At 45.6% G+C, this 23,185-nt stretch overlaps 1 protein-coding gene across 10 annotated transcripts in view, besides 1 other annotated feature; it reads left to right on the forward strand.

The window, feature by feature from the left end:
- The window catches only part of USP10 (ubiquitin specific peptidase 10), a 79,923-nt gene that overhangs the window by 55,029 nt on the left and 1,709 nt on the right, over positions 1-23,185 (forward strand). For 8 of the 10 annotated variants that reach the window (NR_073577.2, NM_001272075.2, XM_047434877.1 and 5 more), the window contains 9 exons: positions 3,688-3,779; positions 4,335-4,444; positions 4,863-4,918; positions 5,144-5,247; positions 7,961-8,060; positions 9,058-9,235; positions 13,165-13,330; positions 17,513-17,657; positions 20,132-20,197. Coding sequence is in view for 8 of the 10 variants with exons in the window: in NM_001272075.2 (NP_001259004.1) it covers positions 3,688-3,779; positions 4,335-4,444; positions 4,863-4,918; positions 5,144-5,247; positions 7,961-8,060; positions 9,058-9,235; positions 13,165-13,330; positions 17,513-17,657; positions 20,132-20,197 (1,017 nt within the window). In the remaining 2 variants the exon portion in view is untranslated. The remainder of the gene's footprint in view (positions 1-3,687; positions 3,780-4,334; positions 4,445-4,862; positions 4,919-5,143; positions 5,248-7,960; positions 8,061-9,057; positions 9,236-13,164; positions 13,331-17,512; positions 17,658-20,131; positions 20,198-23,185) is intronic. The other 2 variants (XM_047434876.1, NR_073578.2) reach the window with 2 other exon arrangements.
- Positions 5,895-6,189: a silencer, noted in NCBI's record as "tiled region #1784; HepG2 Repressive non-DNase unmatched - State 14:Gen5', and K562 Repressive non-DNase unmatched - State 17:Gen3'". NCBI's record gives its function as "represses a minimal TATA promoter and a strong SV40 promoter by Sharpr-MPRA in HepG2 and K562 cells {active_cell/tissue: HepG2 | K562}" and the evidence as "EXISTENCE:reporter gene assay evidence [ECO:0000049][PMID:27701403]".

Below are 23,185 nucleotides of genomic sequence, written 5' to 3' on the forward strand. Positions count from 1 at the left end.
GTGCAGCCAGTTCTTGATGGCTGTGCAATGCTTTCCTTTTAAGAGTGGAGTTAGCCTCGTCATAAAGCGTGTTTTTGAGTCTGTTCGAACGGGTCAACAACGAAGGGAAGTTTCAGGCAGATCTTGTATGCCTGGCCCTGGTGGCTGCTTTCATTTCCTTCCAGTATCAGTGCTAAACAGGAATGAACATGTTCAAGCCCCGTCTCACCCACCTCTGGCATCTTCGCCCTAACTCTGCCCTAGAAGACCTTTCCTTCCGTATCGTCAAGAAAACTGAAGTTGCTGTTTCACTCCTTCTCCCACCCAGAAACTTCGCTGCATCTTCCTGGATCCCTAGCTCCTTGCACCCATGATCCTGTCTCCTTCCTCAGCCCGGCTTCTGGCTGAGCAGCCTGCACTTGCTGTCTTCACTCCTACACGCTGCCCCCACTCCTACACGCTGCCCCTGCGTGCTTCTCACTTCTCTACCCTTCCAGCCCTGCACTCTGGGGACCTGTGCGTATGTTTGTGTGATTATCAATCTGTTGAACCCAGGAGGTCGAGGCTGCAGTGAGGCATAATCACGCCACTGCACTCCAGCCTGGGTAATAGAGCAAGATCCTGTCTTTAAAATAATAATTATGATTGGGTATGGTGGCACACATCTGTAGTCCCAGCTACTCGGGAGGCTGAGGCACAAGAATTGCTTGAGACCCAGAGGCGGAGGTTGGAGTGAGCTAGGATGGTGCCACTGCATTCCAGCCTGGGCGGCAGAGTGAGACTGTCTCAAAAAAAAAAAAAAAAATCAGTCACTTGCTGGTCTTTTAATATACATATACGATTTACTGGTGTCATCTGGGTATCTTTTACTAACATCTCTAAAACTGAGCTCATTACCACACTAAACAAAAAATAACCTGCTCATCTGTTGTATTCCTCCTCTAGTTGGATAGCACTGCTGCCCCAGTCAGTGAGAACCTTCTAGTATATCTGTTCTTCCTCAGCTTCCATTTGGTGGCTTCAACCCCTGACCTTCCCAGAGTTTCTGCAGCCCTTGGATTGGGCTAAGCATCCTTCCCCACCCCCCGCCCCCCATCTCCCAACACCCCTTCAGCTTAGCCTGTACAGTGTGTGTTTGGAGCCAGGGACATCACAGTTCGTCCCTTCACTGGTCTGCGAGCTTGCCTAGGGCAGGACCACCTTGCATTCATCTCTGTGCCTTCCTTACCCGGTGCCTAGGCAGGGCTCAGCAGGGGTTTACTCGCCTTCAGCGAAAGGCAGCATGTTATTTAACAAAGGTTTCAGCCACACACCATGGCTCATGCCTGTAATCCAAGCACTTTGGGAGACCAAGGCAGGTGGATCACTTGAACTCAGGAGTTCAAGACCAGCCTGGCCAACATGGTGAAATCCTGTCTCTCCTAAAAATACAAAAATTAGCCGGGCGTGGTGGTGCACGTCTGTAATCCCAGCTACATGGGAGGCTGAGGCAGGAAAATCACTTGAACCCAGGACACAGAGGTTGCAGTGAGCCAAGATTGCACCACTGCACTCCAGCCTGGGTGACAGAGCAAGACTTGTCTCAAAAAAACAAAGGTTTCTATGTTAGAAAGATAGCAGGCTTTGAGTCTTAAGGTTAGGTTTAAAAAAAAAAGTCATTTGATATAAAAATACTATGGCAAAGCCTTGTTGGAATCATGCTGGAGTTTTCATTTGAGACACTATGCCTTTACGTCATTGATGGTTATTTGAAAATGCACCTTTTTAACACTGCAATGACATTAGTTGCTGTTCTGTGGCACACACTAGAAATGATAGACTGTTGTGATGATATGGTTTAAAGACAAATGTAAAAATCCACTGTCAATAGACTTTAAGCCTGTGGGGAAAAGTAAGTATCTGAAACCTTGGAATAAAAGGGATTTTTAAGTGAAGCCCCTTATATATTGAGGAAAGGGCTCAACCTCTTGAGTCAGGTGGACCCAGGTTCACAGGTCATTTCAGCTGTTATGTGACCTCAGTTTTCTCATCTGTAAAATGGGGTTGGTAACTATCTCTGACAGTAGGGTTATGATAATTATGAATAATATACACAAAGCTTCTAGCACAGTGTCCCTCACATGACAGGTGCTATCTCTGCTGGGTGTCATCACATGCAGGCTTGGGGTTCAGTTCGTAACTGATCCATTATTCATTTATTTCAAGGCCCAGTTCGGTATTCCATATTAAGAGAGAGAGGAGCTTTGCAAACTTAGTCTAATTAAACAGATTCCACAGAATCTGTAATATTTTACTTTCTACAGAAGAAGAGCTAGCAGAAATTATTCCCTACGCTTCTTCAGTTAGAAGGAAGAGGACATTTATTCATAGGAAGGAGGGAATGAGAGGGGTGGGGGTGTGTGTGTGTGTGTGTGTGTGTGTGTGTGTGTGTGTGTGTGTTTTGAATTTTGTAAATTAATTTTTTCATTTGATTAGTGCCGAAGTCTGGGATCTGCCAGTACAATGTAGTTTAGAAAAGAAAAGCTTATTTTTGAGCGATGCCTTAGATGGATGCTACTATCAAATGTATGTATGCCATTTTGGTTTTTCTTTCCTATATACAATTTGTTTATTTATTATACTTTATTTTTAAATGAATTTTTGATTTTTGTTGGTACATAGTAGGTGTATCTATTTGTGGGTTATATGATTAGTATACAATTTAAAAGTAAAGGAGACAGTGTGGATTGGCTGCAGATTATGGAGTTGAGGCCCTGGCTATGCTACCTGGCTCCTGTGTGATCACAGGTGAGTTAGTCAGTCTTTGGGAGCCTCATTTTCCTTATTGGTGAAAGGGTCAAAGTGGTGGTACTCCTAGATTACTAAGGATTAAGTCCAGCCAATTAACATTTGTCAATTGTAAAGAACGTGCTAAGTGTAGAAGGGTTTATAAATTGTAGCCATCACCATTAGAAGATTCATAGTGGGACAGGGGGAGACCTTGTCTTGTTTTCAAGCATTTCTGATGGTTAATTCTATAAAGATGGCATTCACAGCTGTTTTAATACACAGAAAGAGTGATGTCCACTCAGGGTGAACCTGAGGCTGAGCAGCGTGTTTGTAAATGGAATAAGGGAATTACAGTTTATAAAACAGTTGCTAAATTGGATTTCTAGTGGACGGTTTAATTTGTAGGAGACCGCTGTCTCTGAAAGGAGTATTTTTACTCACTGAACAGCCATTGAACACACACAGTGATGTGTAGGGTCAGCATTAGATGCTGGGGATGCAGAGAGGAATGAGACGTGGGTTCTGCAAGATATCTTTCTATCTAGTGTCTGAGGCGCCTTGCTGCTGATGAGACACACCTGGCTAATGGTGTTTAAGGAAGAAAGGCTGTATCTCTCAAATCTATTCTCTAATAATGATACTGTGTTAACATTTTTTTGTTTCTCATTAAAATAGGTAGTTCTTGTGTTCCCTAATTCTGTTCCCCCCAGGAAGATTAAATGTTGCTATTTGAGGGAAAAGATTAGTTTCAAAAATGTTCTAATTGAATAATGTACTTGATGTTGAACTGAATGAAGCCTTAACAGTATGCATTTTCTTTGGCTGTGTGTTTTACTGAAGGGATTTTAAATGCTGTCCCAGAGTAGAGCATGTGAAATGATTTGAATGTTCTTCACTAGATGTCATCAATTTCTGAAATATGCTTCTTCACTCTTTCAGAGTTGCTGGAGAATGTAACCCTAATCCATAAACCAGTGTCGTTGCAACCCCGTGGGCTGATCAATAAAGGGAACTGGTGCTACATTAATGCTGTATCCTTCCTGGACGCCGTCCGCAAGGCCAGCTTGTTGCAGCTGTCCCTCCTTTGGGTGCATGTGACTTAGCTCAGCTTCCGTGGGCCATCTAGCTCTCCATTTGAATCCCTAAGTCTGGTTTATTACTTGGTCTGCCTACCTTGCTTATAAACAGGATTATTCCTGACCCCAGTCCATCTCCCTCTAAAAGAGAGGATATGTTGGCACGTGAATGAGGGCTGCAGACAAGCTGGCTCTCATTAGAATAGTCACAAATAATAGGGCAGAGCAACCACTTACAACTGGAAATTTGGTTTTAACTGATTGAACTGTCTTGGTTAGGTCAAGTTCTTGAATACAAACGACTGACTGCTTCGTAGATCCTTATATGGACATCACAGGACACTTACCCTAGTAACTATTTGGTTTATTCCTTTTCGTGGTGACATATCTAAGTAGTTCAACGTCCTTAGCTTCCTTGTGTTTTTATAAACATTCTTGTGCTTCATGTGCCTTCAGGAAATGTGGTGTGTCTGTTCATTTCCTTTACGCTTCCTTACTGCCACTACATAGACACTGCAGGCATTGGTTGCTTGCCCGCCGATGTACCACCTGATGAAGTTCATTCCTCTGTATTCCAAAGTGCAAAGGCCTTGTACGTCAACACCCATGATAGACAGCTTGTAAGTAAGGTGGTGAAAGATGTGTTAAGTGGTGGGGTTTTTCCCGTCTGATAATTAGAATTGAAATAGTTTAGTAAAGCTCTTGATTTCCTGCAAATGAGTCCTATAATTCTGTCTTTTTTTAAAAATAGACTGTTGGCGATTTTATATGGAAGTTAACCAGAAATGGAATTGGAGCATTGATGATCTGTGTTCTTTAGATTCAGTAGAAAATATTTTAGCGTTTACCAGCATATATCACTTGAAATAGACCAAAAATGCATATAGAAGAGACTTGAGTTCACTAGCTGTTACAGCATTGGTTACCTAAAATCTACTATACTCGTATAGCTGATATTCTACTTAGCCATCAAAGCTCTTTAGTAAAAGTATATATTGTTTAAAACTGCACTATTTAACATTTTTTCCCCATGTTTAGTGTTCGGCTAATGAATGAGTTCACTAATATGCCAGTACCTCCAAAACCCCGACAAGGTTAGTAAAAATGAGTTTTGTTGATGCTATTACATATTGGGAGTTATGGAGACAGATGACTTAAATTTGGTAAATTCAGTCTTGTTGGGAAGATAGTGTCTTTACACCTATGCCATTCTCAACATTCAGCCAGGTGGGAGGTGGGGGAGTTTTGATGATGTTGCTTTTTTCATCATTTATGAGTTCATTGTAGTTAGGAAAACCTGTGTCCTCTTTCCATTGCAGCTCTTGGAGATAAAATCGTGAGGGATATTCGCCCTGGAGCTGCCTTTGAGCCCACATATATTTACAGACTCCTGACAGTTAACAAGTCAAGCCTGTCTGAAAAGGTTTGAGACTTCTCTGTTGTCACTAGTATCAAGTGTTGCCTTTTGTTCCAGTGTTTGTGTGGTAACTGTTGCTTATTGATATTTGCCCTCTGTCTCCAGCGCTATAAGTAGATGTAGGTTTATAAGAGTCCATTGCTTGGATGATATGGTGCACCAAGCACTGCTCTCAGTACTTTACATATATTAACTTAGTTGACTCTGAATAAAGTATGATTATGGTCTCCTTGTTACGGTTAAGAGAAGTGAAGCCACTGTCTGAGGTCAGGTAGCTAATGTACATGGCAGAACCCAGCTTTCAAGTCAGTTCTCTTAACCACTGCACTATATGCCACTGGGGTAGAATGGAGTGCACTGGGCCTGGAATGATGGCAGTATTCAGAAGAGCTTATGTCTTCATCATACTTACAGGCTTTAGTAGCTATTTGATGTACTTGATTCCTTTACCTAATTTTTTTTTAATCACATACTTTGTTACTAAAGGCATGAGACCAAGGGGCCAGGGAGCCCTTATAAAAGGCCCTGGGGCTGTTGAGAGTGACTTGGGCCGCCCTTAGCACCGTTAACTGGAGCATTTCTTTCCTCCCAGATTGAGTTTGTGATGAATCAGTACAAGCAGTTGAAATGATGCTTAGGGAAATGTATTCAGAGAGAAAAATAGTTGAGAAAATGCCATTTAAGTCAAGTTTACTTGAAGCTTCATTGCTTTGAAGAAGAGTGAATGTCGAGGGCATCGTTGCAGGATACCACCAGGGGTAGCATAGGGTCTTAAGCTTTTTAAATGCTTATAATGCAGCTTTTGGTATTGGCTTGGAATTTGCACTTCCCAAGTAATGGGAACATGGTGTTAGGGATGCAGAAATGGAATGAAGTGCGCCCTCTGCCCTCAGTGAGGGAATGAGTTAATGAATAGTCAACAAGAGAAGCACAAAGATACAGAGATGCCTTAGAACCCAGAGGGGCCCACCTAGCACAGGTGGAGGCAAAATAAAGTGGGTGCTCAGGAACCCCTCTTGGATCGTGCACAGAGATAATGCTATGAACAAAAGCATCTTCTAAAGGTTACATTAATAGGGGATGTGTTGGGCTCCCCAAGACCACCCTGAGGTTGGGTGATTCACTGGAAGAACTCAGAAAATGCAGAAGCTGGTATACCCGTGGCTATGGTTGCTGACAGCAAAAGCATGCGGAGCAGAGTCAGGAAGGGAAAGGACAGGTGAGGCAGGGCCTAAAGGAAACTTCCAGACTCCTCTCCCAGTGGGGCCACAAGGCTACGCGTAACTACTCCAGCACCAGACTGTGACCACACGTGAAATGCTGCCAACCAGGGAAGGTCATTACAGACTCCGTGTCCAGAGTTTTTACTGAGGGCTGGTCCCATAGGTACCATCTGCCTGGCTTGAACCAAAAGTCCAAACTCCCAAAACAAAAGCAAAGTGTTCAGCAGAAAGCACATTGCTTGCGCAAACGGTTTAGGCAGAATCCCGTATCAGTTATTGGACCGATGGGAACCTTTCTGAAATCCAAATTCCCAGACACCAGCCAAGGGGCAACCTTGCAAGCAGGCCTTTCCAAGGAGAGCCACCCAGGCCTGCTATGAAAAGTCTTCAGCACACTTTGGCTGTGCCAGTTTTTGCCCTTTTCTGCACACGTGCAGAGCATGCACTCACGTGAACAGCTGCTGTCCACGTCTACTATCTGGAGAGGGCAAGTAAACTTTGCAGTTTACCTAGATGCTTCAAACAGAACAATTTGCAGGGCCTTGGAATAGGCAGTTGTGCTGTGAAGAATGAAATATGAACTGATGATAAGTAACAGAATCAAACACTCGTGATGTGGGATTATTAAACTCTTGGGTGACTCGTCTGTGAATGATTTTGCTGATGTATGTGTAACACAGCTAACGCTCTAAATCAGTGGAGTTTTTCCACATGTAGTTTGAGTTCTTTCCCATGTAGTTGTCCATCATCAAAGACAGACAGAAGCAGACATAGGGCTGCTTAGCTCATTGCTCGAGTGGTGACCCTTGCAGTTGAACAGTGAACTGGCCCTAGACATCTAGTTCTTCGTCTTCTATTTTGTTTACCCAAGACAGAAACTTTTTTTTAAATAACTTTTTTGTGATAAAGGTAATGTGGCCAGGTGTGGTGGCTCATGCCTGTAATCCCAGCACTTTGGGAAGCCAAGGCAGGCAGGTCACCTGAGGTCAGGAGTTTGAGACCAGCCTGGCCGACATGGTGAAACCCCGTCTCTACTAAAAATACAAAGATTAGCCAGGCATGGTGGCACACACCTGGAGTCCCAGCTACTCGGGAGGCTGAGGCAGGAGAATCGCTTGAACCCGGGAGCTGGAGGTTGCACTGAGCTGAGATTGCACCACTGCACTCCAGCCTGGGTGACGGAATGAGACTTTGTCTCAAAAAAAAAAAAAAGTATATTTATTGAAGAAAATTTCAAAAATACAGAAAGTATAAATAATAAAAATCCCCATTAGTCCACCCATTTAGAGATATGTGTTTAGTCAGTTTCTCCTTTTCCTCCTACTCTTGGGATTTCAGCTATGCAAGGGAAACCCATGTCATCATGTCATTGTTTGGAAATACTTTACATCTTCCATTTCAGAGGAGGCATGGTTGGACTTTGCAAGTACTGCATGTCCTGCAGGCCTTTGACAGTGATCAGTTCACAGTAACGTGATTATATTTGACCTTTTCAGGGTCGACAAGAAGATGCTGAGGAATACTTAGGCTTCATTCTAAATGGACTTCATGAGGAAATGTTGAACCTAAAGAAGCTTCTCTCACCAAGTAATGAAAGTAGGTTATGGTCCACTTGCCGCAGAGTTGTGCAAGAGTTCGCTGTAAACAGGTGTTGCATACTCATATGTTATGTTGCTTCCCTGCCCCTCAGTCGTTTTCCTTTCAAATAGCATTTATTCCCTACGATAACTTACACCATCGAGAAGGTTATATTTAGGTAAATTACAGTTTATCCCGAACCTCTGCCATTTTCCTTTAACTTTTAATTAGGAAAATGATCAAGCCTATAAAAAAGCTGAAAGAATCGTTTGATGAATACCTTTATAATTGCCGAGTGTACAGTTTTAAACATATTTTCTGATGCTATACACACACTGTGTATATATATATATGTCTTATCTGTCCATCCATATATACATACATACGCATACATTTTCCCTGAATGATTCAAAGTTAAGTTGCAGCTAACAGTTTAGTTCATCTCAGGTGCTAAAGCATCTCCTGCGTAACCACAGTCCCTTATCTAACTGAGAAAAACAACTGTAATGACACGGTAATACCGACTTTGCAGAGCATCTTCAAATTTCGCCAGTTGTCCCAGGGATGTCATTTCTAGGAGTTTATGTAAACAAGGATCCAGTGGTGGTGCACCTGTTGCGATTGGTTGCCGTGGATCAAGTGGCATTGCAATGGGTTGCAGTGGATCCAGTGGCATTGCGCCTGTTGTGATTGGTTGCCGTGGATCCAGTGACGTTGCACCTGTTGCGATTGGTTGCCGTGGATCCAGTGACGTTGTGCCTGTTGGGATTGGTTGCCATGGATCCAGTGACGTTGCACCTGTTGCGATTGGTTGCCGTGGATCCAGTGACATTGTGCCTGTTGCGATTGGCCGTGGATCCAGTGACGTTGCTCCTGTTGCGATTGGTTGCCGTGGCTCCTAATGTAGACCACACCCTGATTTCATTTTTAAAACTGCAATCGACAGATCTGTGCCTTTTTTTTTTTTGCTGTTCTTGTCGTAAATAGTAGTGTAAGCAGATGCTCTCCTTTTCAGAACTTACGATTTCCAACGGCCCCAAAAACCACTCGGTCAATGAAGAAGAGCAGGAAGAACAAGGTGAAGGAAGCGAGGATGAATGGGAACAAGTGGGCCCCCGGAACAAGACTTCCGTCACCCGCCAGGCGGATTTTGTTCAGACTCCAATCACCGGCATTTTTGGTGGACACATCAGGTTTGTGCTTTTCTGGAATAACTTAATATTTGCCTTTTCTAGGGTTTTGCCATGTTGGTGAAGGGGGAAGGTGTGAGGCTTGTTTTGAGACTTCTTGGACGTAATGGTTTGCATCTTGCTCCCCTGCCTGCTCTTCTCTTGCACTTCCTGATGCTTCCCTTGTCAGCCCCCGTGGCTTATTCTCTCCCTGCTGGCGCATGTCTGCAGGGGACAGGGAGCTCCTCCCTTCTACTCTGTCAAGTTCAGCTGCTCACTGCTAGGGAGTAAGAGAAAAGCCAGCTAATTGGCCATACGCGGTGGTTCATGCCTGTAATCCCAGGACTTTGGGAGGCCAAGGCGGGTGGATCACCTGAGGTTAGAAGTTCGAGATCAACCTGATCAACATGGTGAAACCCCGTCTCTACTAAAAATACAAAAATCAACCAGGTGTGGTGACAGGCACCTGTAATCCCAGCTATTAGGGAGGCTGAGGCAGGAGAATCGCTTGAACCCAGGAGGCAGAGGTTGCAGTGGCCCAGATAGCGCCATTGCACTCCAGCATGGGTGACAGAGTGAGACTCTGTCTCAAGAAAAAAAAAAGAAAAAGATACAGGAGAATGTCATCATGACTTAGGGGTAGGCAAAGGTTTCATAAGATAGGTCATAAACAATAACCACGAGAGAGAGAGAAAAAAAAATATATATATATATATTAGACTTCATCTGCATTTAAAACTTGCAACATAAAACCACCTCCGGGAGGCAGAGGTTGCAGTGAGCCAAGATTACACCACTGCACTCCAGCCTGGGTGACAGAGCAAGACTGTCTTCAAAAAAAAAAACCAGCTAACCAAACCATGTGTTTTGGTAAGAGAAGACAGTGTATCTGGAGGAATTTTATTTATGTTAATAAATTGTGTATATTTAAAGTATACACAGATGTTATGAAATAGAGATAGTAAAATAGTTGCTACAGTGAAGCAGATAAACATATTCCCCATCACAGTTACCCTTGTGTGTGTGTGTGTGCACATGGCAAGAGCAGCTGCAGTTTTACTCATTTCACAAAAGTCCCAAATACAGTGCACTATGAGTAGCTCTTGTCCGATGTTCCACATCAGATCTCTAGACCTGTTCGCCTGTGTGGCTGCCCTTGGTGTCCTTCGACCGACATCTTCCATTCCCACTCGCCACCCCTAGGAACCACTCTTTTCCCTATCTCTGTAGTTTCGTCTTTTTTTTTTTTTTAATAAAGATTCCATGTATAAGTGAGACCATGCAATATTTTTCTTTCTGTGTCTGACTTCTTTAACTTAGTATAATGTTCCCCAGGTTCATTCCTGTTGTGGCAAATGGCAGGGTCTTTATTACAGCTGAATAGTGTTCCCTTGTCTATATATACACACCACAGTTTCTTTATCCATTGGCCCATCCACAGACAGTTGTTTCCCTGTCTTGGCTGTTGTGAACTGATTGGAAGCAGGTGAGGTAGAAAGTGAAGAGAGTGTGAAGGGAGGTCTTTTTTACACAGACAGACCCGTGACTGGGCTGGAGTCCCTGGGCACCTGGCTGTGTGCCAGTTCCCTTAAGCAGCTTTTTGCTCATTCACAAAGTCCTTCGGAAAGGTTTTTCTTTATTTACCTGAGAGCTTTTCAGTACCACTGTGATGTGGAATTCAGCAAAACTTGTACCATCTCCAAGAAGGTTTACCCATCGAAAGTACTGAAGAGGCCTCATTGGAGCCTAATTTCCTTTCTGAGGCCTTGCGGCATAACCCCCAGGCTGGTATTTCAGTGACACTCTTAGTCTGTTGTTGTCCCAAATGCTGCGTACCTGAAAGAAAGAGCACCCCTTTTGAGGCATCAAGACTTGATTCAGTCTCAGTTCTGAGACTGAATCAACAACTTTCAACAGGTGAATAATAAGAACCTCAGAAACCTGCGCTGACGCCCTCAGAAGCTGGTTTCCCGTCCTCTGTGGAAGTGGATTTAGAAGCCAGTTGAGCAGCCATGTGACCTTGAACAAGTCACTTCTGTGTTCTGCACTGTGAGCTCTATTCCACTGGCCCCTTTCTATTCTGGTGCTCTGTGGAGTGTCCACGGCAGCTGGGTGGTCAGTTGTCACCTGGGAAACACCCAGCCCTGACCACTGTCTGTGGTTCCTTGGGACACGTCGTGTTGGGAGGGAGACGCTGAGGTCCAGGTTGGCGCGCAGCAGCGAGGGAAGGCTGTGCCCTTTGCTCCTTCAGCCCAGCAGCCTGGTTTAGGATTGTGAGGACACCCCCTCGGGATGGGAGAGAAAGATGAATGGACAGCTCAAATGGAGGCATCGGGAACATGGTTTTTGTGCAGAGGCCGGGTATCAGAATTTCAAGGCCACAGAGGGTCAGCATACTCAAAGATCCCAAATTTGTCTAAGAGTAACCAGTGGAAAATACCAGCGTCCATTTGGAGGACTTGCTGGCTCAGATTGAACAGCTCTGTCACAGCTGCTAGCCACATCCTCTGAGGGGTCTCTGTGTTGAAATTGGTTGTTGATGTTTCTTTTTGAAAAACGGTAAAGCAAAGATAGGGAATTCTTACAACGTAGGAACTTCTTTTCAGCCATTGTTAAGCATGATTCTTTATTCACACCAATTGAAAGATTTACTTCTAAAACTCAGCCTCTTCAGATGTTTTTCAGTTTCCCCAGGAAGACTTCCCCGCCTTTCTTCCCCGGTGCCACCTTTGCTAAAACACAGGACCACTGAATCAAGAGGGCTTCTTGATTCTCCACCAGCTCTCATGAGCGGTTTCCCCACTACTGTATCCCTCTCCAGAACCAGGGGAACTGTTGTCACTGAAGTCTTCAAACTGTAAAGGAGCATGGAGATGCGTAATTAAACCCTGGACAGAAAAGCTTTTAGCGAGCTCTTCACCGCATCTGTTCTGGAAAGCCTGAGTACCTGTCCACACCCATTTTATTCCGTTGAGAAACTAGGTCACCGAGACTGCAGAAATAGAAGCCCTTGTTGAACCCCTGGAATGTTTCCTTGCTGAGGCTAAATGAGAGATGGGCCGAACACACAATTTTTACTCAGAAAAACTTAGAAAAAGGAAAAAAAAAATGAAATGAAAAACCAGCTAAGAAAACAAGGTCAAATTGGCGCCCTTCTTGGAAGGGTGGCAGCCTTTTTTCCTGGAATGTTAACTTGTTTTTTATTCTACACACCCTACTCCCCTTCTTCTTTTTGTAAGACATCTTTATAGGAGGAAAATGCCATTAAAAATCCTCTATTTACCTTGGGATTTCCTCTATTTTATTAGAACAGGCTATGATACTTGGAGAAAATGGAAAGCAGCAGCGTTTTGAGGCCATGGCAGGGTGGCTGCCTTTATGAACCGGTGCAGTAAATAACAGTGTGGAGAGGAAGTGAAAGAATTTGGAAAATGAAATATGTTTTCTTCCAGAGCACTGGCGTTGGGAACATTTATCAACTGGTAGATTTAGTTGTTAGAAATACTAAGGAGGTGCTATTCAGCAGAATTATTATTATTTTTTTTAATTTATTTTTTTATTGATAATTCTTGGGTGTTTCTCACAGAGGGGGATTTGGCAGGGTCATGGGACAATAGTGGAGGGAAGGTCAGCAGACAAACAAGTGAACAAAGGTCTCTGGTTTTCCTAGGCAGAGGACCCTGCGGCCTTCCGCAGTGTTTGTGTCCCTGATTACTTGAGATCAGGGATTGGTGATGACTCTTAACGAGCATGCTGCCTTCAAGCATCTGTTTAACAAAGCACATCTTCAGCAGAATTATTTTTAAATTCAGTATATTTTTGGCTTTTCTCTGTGGTCTTTTGAAAGTGATATTGAATAATCTTATTTTCAGTGTTTATTCCCTTGGTTAATCTTAAGGGAAAGTGGCAAGGAGTGGTCTCTTAATTTTTTTGTTTTTGCTTTCAATTCTTAGGTCTGTGGTTTACCAGCAGAGTTCAAAAGAATCTGCCACTTTGCAGCCATTTTTCACGTTGCAGTTGGATATCCAGTCAGACAAGATACGCACAGTCCAGGATGCACTGGAGAGCTTGGTGGCAAGAGAATCTGTCCAAGGTTATACCACAAAAACCAAACAAGAGGTATGTTCACACTTGATTTTGAACCTTTCTACTAAGGTGCTCTGGTTTGGTGGAAAGAACACAAAATTAGGAATGAGGGGAAATGGGTTTGAGTTATGCCTCTTAAATCAGTTGCTTAACCATTTTGTACTGAAAGTTTTTATGGTTTTACAATGAAATGGTTGAAACGTGATCCCAAGGGCCTCTTTTAGCTCTAAATCATATTACACAAGGTAATGATCTCCTTTTGGATTGTTTATCTTGAGCTACATTTAATTTTCTGGCAATCTAATGATGATATCACAACATCAATACTACCTCTGACAGAGGCCAAATAGCTTATTTATGTTCATGATACCGTAGGGTACAACTGTCATTAGATTAGTTAGGATGTCAGAGAGATTCCAGACACATCTGTTTTGCATTTGATTGTAGATCTTCCAGGTCATTGTAAATATAATATAGTCATTGTAAATATAATATAGTCATTGTTCTGATGCTTGTTACTCTTTGATTTGATCTGGAAAAGGTAAGATTCTTGAGTCTTTCAGTCTTCATGAATTTAAGAGTATCACATTATAGCTTGGTGGAGTCCTTGTCAACTCAGTTGGGCGAGACGGATAGCATTCTGCCCTGTGAGAGCTTATTAGTTCCTGGCTGTCCAGATGTGCCAGCTTATAGCTATTTTGTACTCTGCAGCAGAGAGTGTCTTCTCTGTTATATATCTTAGGTTGTGGCAGTGAATTCATAAAAATGCACTGGGGAGATGAATGCAGGCTGATAATTATGGACGGTCCATAGCATTCCTGCAAAGCGATATTTGAATAATGGGCAGTGGATGGCAGCTACAAGGTAAAATAAGGTGCCCCAACGTAGAAGACCTGTCATCACATTGCATGACTGGGATGGATCTATCCTTGGCTTATCTTGTGTGCTCTGAGTCAGAAAGAGCAAAGTAGGACATAGGGACCCTTAGCACCTTCGGGGTGTCCTGCTGTGGACTGGTTCACCCAGGCTCTGGGGGGATCAGTAGAAGTTATGCCTAATCTTCTACCGTATTTGCAGACTTGCATCTCATGGGTGATTTTGTTTAAAAAATAGAAGCAGTAGGAGCCAGAGGCAGAAACTTGGTAGTTGACTTCAGTGAATGAGCTAAGAAGAGTCTGGCGGTGGACCTCGTGGAAGAGAGAGAGGGAAAAAGTGGTATTTGTGTTGGGGAGGTTGGTTGGGTGGTTCAGTTGTGCATTGTGGGTGACTGTCGGCTTGGCTCACTTCTGTGGCAGCTGCAACTCCAGAGATAGCTCCCTGGCCCTGGCTGCTGGTGCACTCTGCTTATGCTGTTTCTTGAGCCAGCTATGGGAGTCTTTGGCCACCCATGCTGTTGGGGAGGTGGTCAGCCTTTCCATGGGCTGCCTAGGGAAGACCCTTTTGTGATGTGTCTGTTTTTCTCTTTTGCTTCTGCTGCAATTACAGTTTGACTTTGCTGGGGTGGGCTGGTAGGGGTGGCGGTGTGGGGGCAGGGGTTGAGGCGCAGGTAGTTGTTAGCCTGTTGTTAGACGGTAGTGAAGAAAGAATGGTTTATCCTAAATAGCAGGTTTGGATGAAGGCTTCCAGAAAGAAGGCGGGCCAGGTGTGGTGGCTCACGCCCTTAGTCCCAGCACTTTGGGAGGCTGAGGCAGGAGGATTGCCTGAGCCCAACAGTTGGAGGCTGCAGTGAGCTATGATCACGCCACTGCACTCCAGCCTGTGCGATAGTGAAACCGTGTCTCTAAAACATAAGAAGAAATAAAAATAAAGGAAAGCTGGCATTTTGGTGGACTCCGGAAGATAAAAAGGATGCTGCCAGCCGTTCTGGGTGCGTGGTTGTGGTGGTGTGTTACCAGATGAGGCCAGGACCACTTTCAACAGCAGATGTTTCAGGAAGATTTGGGACAGCTTGTATGGAAGTATCTATAAGGAGCAAATTACATATTTTCTTGAATGTGTTTTTTTTTAAGTTTTTAAAATGCCACCTTTAACTTTATTATGTTTTAGATCAGAAGTATTTTTCTGTGGGAACATGTGAAGGTTTTGGGGAAAATAGGATTATATGAAATATTTGCTATATAGAAAATGTCTGCCTTTGTTGAGTGATTAGAAATTAAGCCTCAGTTGGCTGGGCGAGGTGGCTCACACCTGTAATCCCAGCACTTTGGGAGGCCAAGGCGGGTGGATCACGAGGTCAGGAGATCGAGACCATCCTGGCTAACACGGTGAAACCCCGTCTCTACTAAAAATACAAAAAGTTAGCCGGGCATGGTGGCAGGCGCCTGTAATCCCAGCTACTCAGGAGGCTGAGGCAGGAGAATGGCGTGAACCTGGGAGGCGGAGCTTGCAGTGAGCCGAGATAGCGCCACTGCAGTCCGGCCTGGGCGACAGAGCGAGACTCCGTCCCCAAAAAAAAAAAAAAAAAATCTCCAGTGGCTGATGCCTGTAATCCCAGCATTTTCGGAGGCTGAGGCAGGCGGATCACAAAGTCAAGAGATCGAGACCATCCTGGCCAACATGTTGAAACCCCATCTCTACTAAAAATACAAAAATTAACTGGGCATGGTGGTGTGCACATGTAGTCCCAGCCTCTCAGGAGGCTGAATCACTTGAACCCTGGAGGTGGAGGTTGCAGTGAGCTGAGATCGCACCACTGCACTCCAGCCTCGATGACAGAGCGAGACTGTCTCAAAAAAAAAAAAAAAAGTGTTATCCAAATGAATATGGGAAGCATCAAAGACTTTGTAAGTACAGAGAATGATAAAGGGATTGTTATTTGTAAAGATGCATCTTAGTGACAAAAAACCTGGCTTTATTTAAAAGCAGCATTCATCAGACCTGTGAAAGTACTTCAGGAACAGATTACATTGATAAAACTCATGATTAGAATAAATAGCTTTAAAGGTTATTTAAAACATCTAATTGGCCTGGAATCCCAGCACGGTGGGAGACTGAGGCGAGCAGGTTGCTTAAGTCTAGGAGTTCAAGACCAGCTGGGCTCATGGCTGTAGTCCCAGCTACTTGGGAGGCTGAGGTGGGAGAATCACCTGAGCCCAGGAAGTCAAGGCTGCAGTGAGTCCTCATCATGCCACTGCACTCCAGCATGGGCAACCAGAGTGAGATCCTGTCTTAAAAAAACAAACAAACAAAAAAACCCACCTAATCCTACTGGTATCAGTTTTATCAATACTATCAGAGTTATTTTAAAATGGGTCAATACTAGGCCTAGCGTGGTGGCTCACGCCTGTAATCTCAGCACTTTGGGAGGCTGAGGCAGGTGGATCACCTGAGGTCAGGAGTTCAAGACCAGCCTGGCCAACATGGTGAAACCCCTTCTTTACTAAAAATACAAAATTAGCCAGATGTGGTGGTGGGAGCCTGTAATCCCAGCTACTCAGGAGGCTGAGGCAGGAGAATCGTTTGAACCCGGGAGACGGATGTTGCAGTGAGCGCAGATCGTACCACTGTACTCCAGCCTGGGCGACAGAGTGAGAACTCCCTCCCCCCAAAAAAGGCGGGGGAGTCAGTACATAAATAAGGTGGTACTAAGTTAGCTTTTTAATTTTTATGCTAATTTGTCAGTAATGCCACAGAGTAAAGTTCTTAACTTTGAGTTTACGACTGGACTTCAGGGACCCAAGAGGCTCTCTGCAGTTGTGCTTATGGGAACGTATGCATTTTTCTTCTTCTTTTTTCTTTTTTTCTGAGACAAGATCTCGCTGTGTTGCCCAGGCTGGGGTACAGTGGCGCGAACTTAGCTCACTGCAACGTCTACCTCCTGGGTTCAAGGGATTCTCTTGCCTCTGCCACCCAGGTAGCTGGGGTTACAGGCGCCCACCACCACGCCTGGCTAATTTTGTATTTTTAGTAGAGACGGGATTTCACCATGTTGGCCAGGCTGGTCTCAAACTCTTGACCTCAGGTGATCCGCCTGTCTCAGCCTCCCAAAGTGCTGGGATTAATGGGCATGAGCCACTGCATCTGGGTATGTGCATTTTCTTAAGAGGAGCATTGGTAGATCTCAGAGCTTCTGTGGGGCAGGAAAAGCCATGAAGTCCTGCCACAGGACTCTTGGGCCTCACCTCTCAGAGGACGTCTTTGAGCGGAAGGTGGATGTGGTGTTAGCTGTTGCAAGTAAGACAGGGACGGTGTGTCCTGGTGTGCTTTGTGTCTTAGGTTGAGATAAGTCGAAGAGTGACTCTGGAAAAACTCCCTCCTGTCCTCGTGCTGCACCTGAAACGATTCGTTTATGAGAAGACTGGTGGGTGCCAGAAGCTTATCAAAAATATTGAATATCCTGTGGACTTGGAAATTAGTAAAGGTAATGCATACATAAGGTCGGGAGTGTTCGTGGTGACACACTCCTGCACATCAGAAGCTCAACCCTGTAGCATTTCTTTATGATGTCAAGAGTGAGGACATTCTCTTGCTGGACGTGGACTTGTTTTAAGTTTCTTGACTTGTAATAGACCTTAATACTAAAATTCTCATGAAAATGGCCTGTTGAAAATAGAGGCAAAAATAACTAAACTCTATAATCTTACTAGATTAGAAAAATAGCAGCTTTTGTCTATCAAAAAGAACATCACTTTTCTGTGAATATTTCAGGGATGAATGGTGCAGTTTGCCTTCCACCGAGTATTAACAGCTGTGTTGACTAGCCCAGTTAAGTGGTTTTTAGTGAAGTAAGAATGATTTCTCATAGGCAGTGAGAGTCCCTTCTAACCTCTAGTTGTGGTGGCGCACAAATAAGACGTGGCACTTACCAGCCTCAAGTCTCTGTCAGGTCACGGGCTCGGCACTTTTTGAAAGCAATTTTAAAGAGCCCCAGGTTAAAGGCATCTTGCTAAAAGCACAGCTTCAAGAAGACTTTTCTTGAAAGCTTTAGAATTTGTGAAAACGTATAGTACAACACTGAGGCTTGATTGGGACTGTGATTAGCTAGAGAGGATTCTCAGAATATCGAGGTGTTTGGGAAGCAGAAAAGAGGACACTGGGCCTCACTCCTGGGTCCTGCAGAGGAACAAACCTGAACCGAGAGTCCTCTTCTCTCCGTCCCCTGGCACAGCAACCCCACCTCATACCTCCTTCCATATAGATGACCCAGGAACTGTGGGCATGGCTGGCTTCTAGCCGGCTCCCTGTCTACCCTAGGGGCGCCCTATACCTTCCCGTGAAGACTCAGACACTGTCTCTCCCAGGCCTGCACACAAGAGCTGTGCTTTCTGCTGACGGGCTTGGCTGCTGTGCCGGGTTTAGTGTCCGTTGCTCCTCTCACACTTCTAGCTGCCTTATCACTCATCAGCCGATTGCTTTTTAATCCCATTTGAGGACCAGCAAGAGGAAGAAAGATGCCAGTGAGAATCATGTAACAGATCCTCCTCCCCATTTTATTCTATCCATCGGGAAACCTGGAATGCCGGCTAAGTCAAAGAAGGCATCCTCGGCCTCTGCTCCTGCATCTTCACTCGCCTCCAGATCAGCTGTCTGAGCTGACTTGGATGTTTTGCTACAGTGATTTTATTTTTATATCTTTTCTTGCTTGCTGTATTTTTATATCCGCTGCCACCTCCAATACATTATCAAAATATGACATAAATGGGGGCTGGGCGCAGTGGCTCACACCTGTAATCCCAGCACTTTGGGAGGCCGAGGCAGGCAGATCACCTGAGGTCAGGAGTTCGAGACCAGCCTGACCAACGTGGTGAAACCCCAACTCTTCTAAAAACACAAAAATTAGCCTAGCATGGTGGTGGGTGCCTGTAATCCTAGCTACTTGGGAGGCTGAGGCAGGAGAATCGCTTGAACCTGGGAAGCAGAGGTTGCTGAGATCATGCCACTGCACTCCAGCCTGGGCAACAGAGCAAGACTCCATCTCAAAAAAATAAATAAATAACATAAATGGGGGACAAGAGGACCTCACTTGGGTCATGGGTCAGAAGTACAGATGGCTGCCTCGAACAGCATGCCTCCGACGGACTCTTGTGTCGGTGTAAGTGGTACTTCTGCGCACAGTAAGAGCAGGGAGTTCCCGCCTCGTAGCAGCTGGTAGACTGGTTCCTATTTGGAGAAATCATGTTACTGTTCTGTAACTGAAGTTTTGTTTTGTTTTTTTTTTGTTTGTTTGTTTTTTTCTTGCTCTGTCACCCAGGCTGGAGTGCAGTGGCGCGATCTCGGCTCGCTGCAACCTCTGCCTCCCGGGTTCAAGTGATTCTCCTGCCTCAGCCTCCCGAGTAGCTGAGACTACAGCCGCGTGCCACCACGCCCGGGTAATTTTTTGTATTTTTAATAGAGACGTGGTTTCACTGTATTAGCCAGGATGGTCTCGATCTCCTGACCTCGTGATCGCCCGTCTCAGCCTCCCAAAGTGCTGGGATTACAGGCGTGAGCCACCGTGCCTGGCCTGTAATTGAAGTTTTATGATCTGACGCATATGTAAAATTTTAATTCTTGCCTTGGATTTTTCACAACTGTTTTTGTTTTTAAGTCAGCAGCTTTTTTCTTTTCCATTTTGTAGAGCACCTGTTTTTAAGGGGCCTCCCACAGGAGCATCACAGCCTCGGCCGTTGCTCCTGTTTCTTTAGTGAGCTGGCTGCACATTTTGTGTCCTATTACGTCACATGGCTCATTTCCTTCATGAGTCAATTTTTGTGCAACTGAAGGGATAGAGTGTTGTTTTGTTCCTGGTCTGACAGGCAGTTTACTTGCTGGGGAGAATGTTGTTAGCCATTTTCTGCTGCTGTTACCCTGAACCTTTCTAAAAGTGCTTCAAGCCATTGATATTTTGTTTTCCAGAACTGCTTTCTCCAGGGGTTAAAAATAAGAATTTTAAATGCCACCGAACCTATCGGCTCTTTGCAGGTGAGTAAATTTGTACGACATTACTTCTTCATTAAAACACTGATGAAGGGGTTTACAGCTGGGCACAGGTTTGCTGCAACTTAGCATAGCGACCAGATGCTGTACTCAGGTATCCCTGTGGCCTTGTGAGTCGGGGAGTCACGTGAGAGTTTTACCTGAAACTCTGCGTAGATGACGGATTATCATCTTGGCCCTGAGGACAGATAACAGAAGACCTTGCTCAAAGCGAACATTTCTGTCTTTGAGTCAGAGGAGGGAGTTTCAGGCTCCCAGGCTGGCTGTTTGAGAATGTGACCTCTCCCGGCTGTGCTTGTGGCACCTGTGGGTGACAGTGCTGTGGAGTTTCCACGACACCTGGTCACCCAGCCAGGTTGGGTGAGCGCGCCCCCAGCCGGTGATCCCTGCGTCCTCCCCCACAGGTATTGTTAGGGCTGCTTGAGAGGGTGGGCCCGATTACACAAGCTCCTCGGCTGCCAGGCCCTCAGTCAGTCATGAGAAATCTCCCAACAGGGTGAATGGCACCCCCTGTTCCCTCATGGGTGGACCTTGAGACCTCTTCTGTCTCCTGGCTTAGGCTCCCTGCAGTATCATTTTTTCTGCCACATCATCTTCCCTTTCCTTTCTGCCTTCCCTTTTATCCTTCTTTCTCTTTTATAGCGTCATCTTTTATGCCTCTGAGTCTTTACCTCTTTGGATTGTTGCTGTTTGCCGCACTTTTGTTTGCTTCCCAGGCTGTTTTTACTACATGTTTCTAGCTTCTGTGTCTTCCCTCCTCTGGTGTGGCCTTTGGTGAACCTGTTTGTATCGTAACATAACACTGCCATTTATTGACCTTCACACATGTATTGAACCTCTTCCCAAGATATTCTTTCATTTCCTTACATGTGTCCTAGGAGATGGGAGGTGGGATCCCTGTTTTATAAAAGAATAAACCAGAACTCAAGGAAGAAAACTCACCACTCTGGCCTGCAGTGGCAGAGCAGGGCTTCAAGCTCCTGTCCACCTCAGCTCACGCCCGATGTTTTAGGAAGTTTGGCGAGTGGGTGAGGGCCCAGGGATGGGGGCCCAGGGGTGAGGGCCTAGCGGTGGGGGCCCAGGGGTGAGGGCCCAGTGGGTGAGGCCCAGAGCCACACTGCAAGGTGCCAGGCTTCCCTCTCTTCCTCTCACTATTCATTGTTCCTTTTGACTCTCTTCTTTTCTCCCCCCGATCACAATTCCTCCTCAACTTGCTGGGCCTCAGATGGGACGGCCATGGGCACCACGCGCTTGTGGGTGTCTCCAGCCCTGTCTGGAATGGAAGGTCTGAGTCCTCAGACTCTGCAGCCAGCCATTATCCTGCCTGGCTCCTTGGAGTGTGGCACCCAGGTCCCAGTGGGTGGCCAGCAGTTTCTCCGCCTTCTCCCTGCACCTCTTCCCCTGGAGGCTCTTGCGGGGGACATCACTGGGCAGGGGCAGGGGCTAGGGATTGCTCCTCTCCTGGTCAGGGCCCCAGTGTGAGCACACACACCCCTCCCCGACTCTGCAACCTGCCTCGCCCCGGGACCTGGGCCTGGGTTGCTCTCCCCTGCCCTCCTGAATCCTCATCCCCTAACCCATTATTTTTTTGAGATAGAGTTTTGCTCTGTCGCCCAGGCTGGAGTGCAGTGGCACAGTCTCCATTCACTGCAACCTCTGCCTCCCAGGTTCAAGTGATTCTTGTGCCTCAGCCCCCCGAGTAGCTGGGATTACAGCTGTGCACCACCACATCCAGCTAATTTTTGTATTTTGAATAGAGACGAGGTTTCGCCCTTTTGGCCAGGCTGGAAGCCTATTCTGATCTTGGAAATGAGGTCACCGGACTGGTTAGAATTACCTGTAGAGTGAGCAAAGGAACACTTTTTAAGAACTGCTGTGATTGTGGGGCCTGGGAGAAGCAATCTCGCGCACAAGCTTTTCAGGCGGTTCTCAGCGCTCCTGTCAGGGGGGCTTGCAGGTGTGAGTGACACACGGCTCAGCCCAGGGTAGTTAACTGGGCTGCTGCTTATGAAACTAGAATGGTGACATGCAGTCCCCCTTGACATTTTAGAATGGAGATGTCTTGTGGGAAAGACAAGTTAGTAAAACCCCCAGGCCCTGCAGATTCTACTGATGGTCGCTTTGAAGCAAAACTCTTAGCCCAGTCAGTTAGGTCTGTGAGGTGAAGATCTAGGACAGAAGTCTCAAAGTGAACTTGGGATCCAGGGGACATGCTGCTGTCATGGGTGCTTCCTGCCCTTTCACAAGATGGCTGTGACTTGTGCAGCACAGGATGAAGCTATGCCCTTGGATTGGCTGTGTCCCTGGCTCTCCGAAGTACGGGCCCCACAGTCTTGCTGTCCCTATGCTGTTCAGTCTCCTCCGGGGTCCCTGCACAGAGGATTTCTTTGTGCAGAGCCCAGGAGTCTGACTGGTGGCCTCAGTCATAAGCACTGTCCTCTAGCCAGCCAAGGTCCCTGGCCCAGAGAGGACTGAGGCCTCCTGCTGTCATTTAGCCCCTCCACGTGACAACTGCGACTAGAACCTGGTGATGTTTGGTCTTGTTTTAGTGCTGAAATTCCCTACCAGCCAAGTCTTGCATCTCTCCTGGTTCCTTTTCTTTTGTGCCACTGATGGTGGGCGCAGCTTAGCAGGCTGCCCTGTCATTCCCCGCGGAATGCTGCCGGACAGCCGCCTTCCCGAGGCTGGTGTCTGCTGCTGGCCAGGCAGACCTGTGCCCCTCTGCTCCATAGAAGTGGAGGATGTGTTCTGTGGCTGTCTTAATGTTTTCATGACATCTTCTACAGATTTTTTGTTTTAGGCCTTTGACTAAGGCTTCTTGGTTATAGGATTTTTTTTTTAAGTAAATAACTGTGTGTGTGTGTGTGTGTGTGTGTGTTTTGTTCTGTTAAAACATAGAAAAATGGGTAATTTTTTTTAAAGGCAAATGCGTAACTACCAGCACCATCTCCGCAGTGCCCCACCACAGCTCCA

The sequence above is a fragment of the Homo sapiens genome, chromosome 16 (genome assembly GCF_000001405.40).
Source record: "Homo sapiens chromosome 16, GRCh38.p14 Primary Assembly".
NCBI classification, from domain to species: domain Eukaryota; kingdom Metazoa; phylum Chordata; class Mammalia; order Primates; family Hominidae; genus Homo; species Homo sapiens.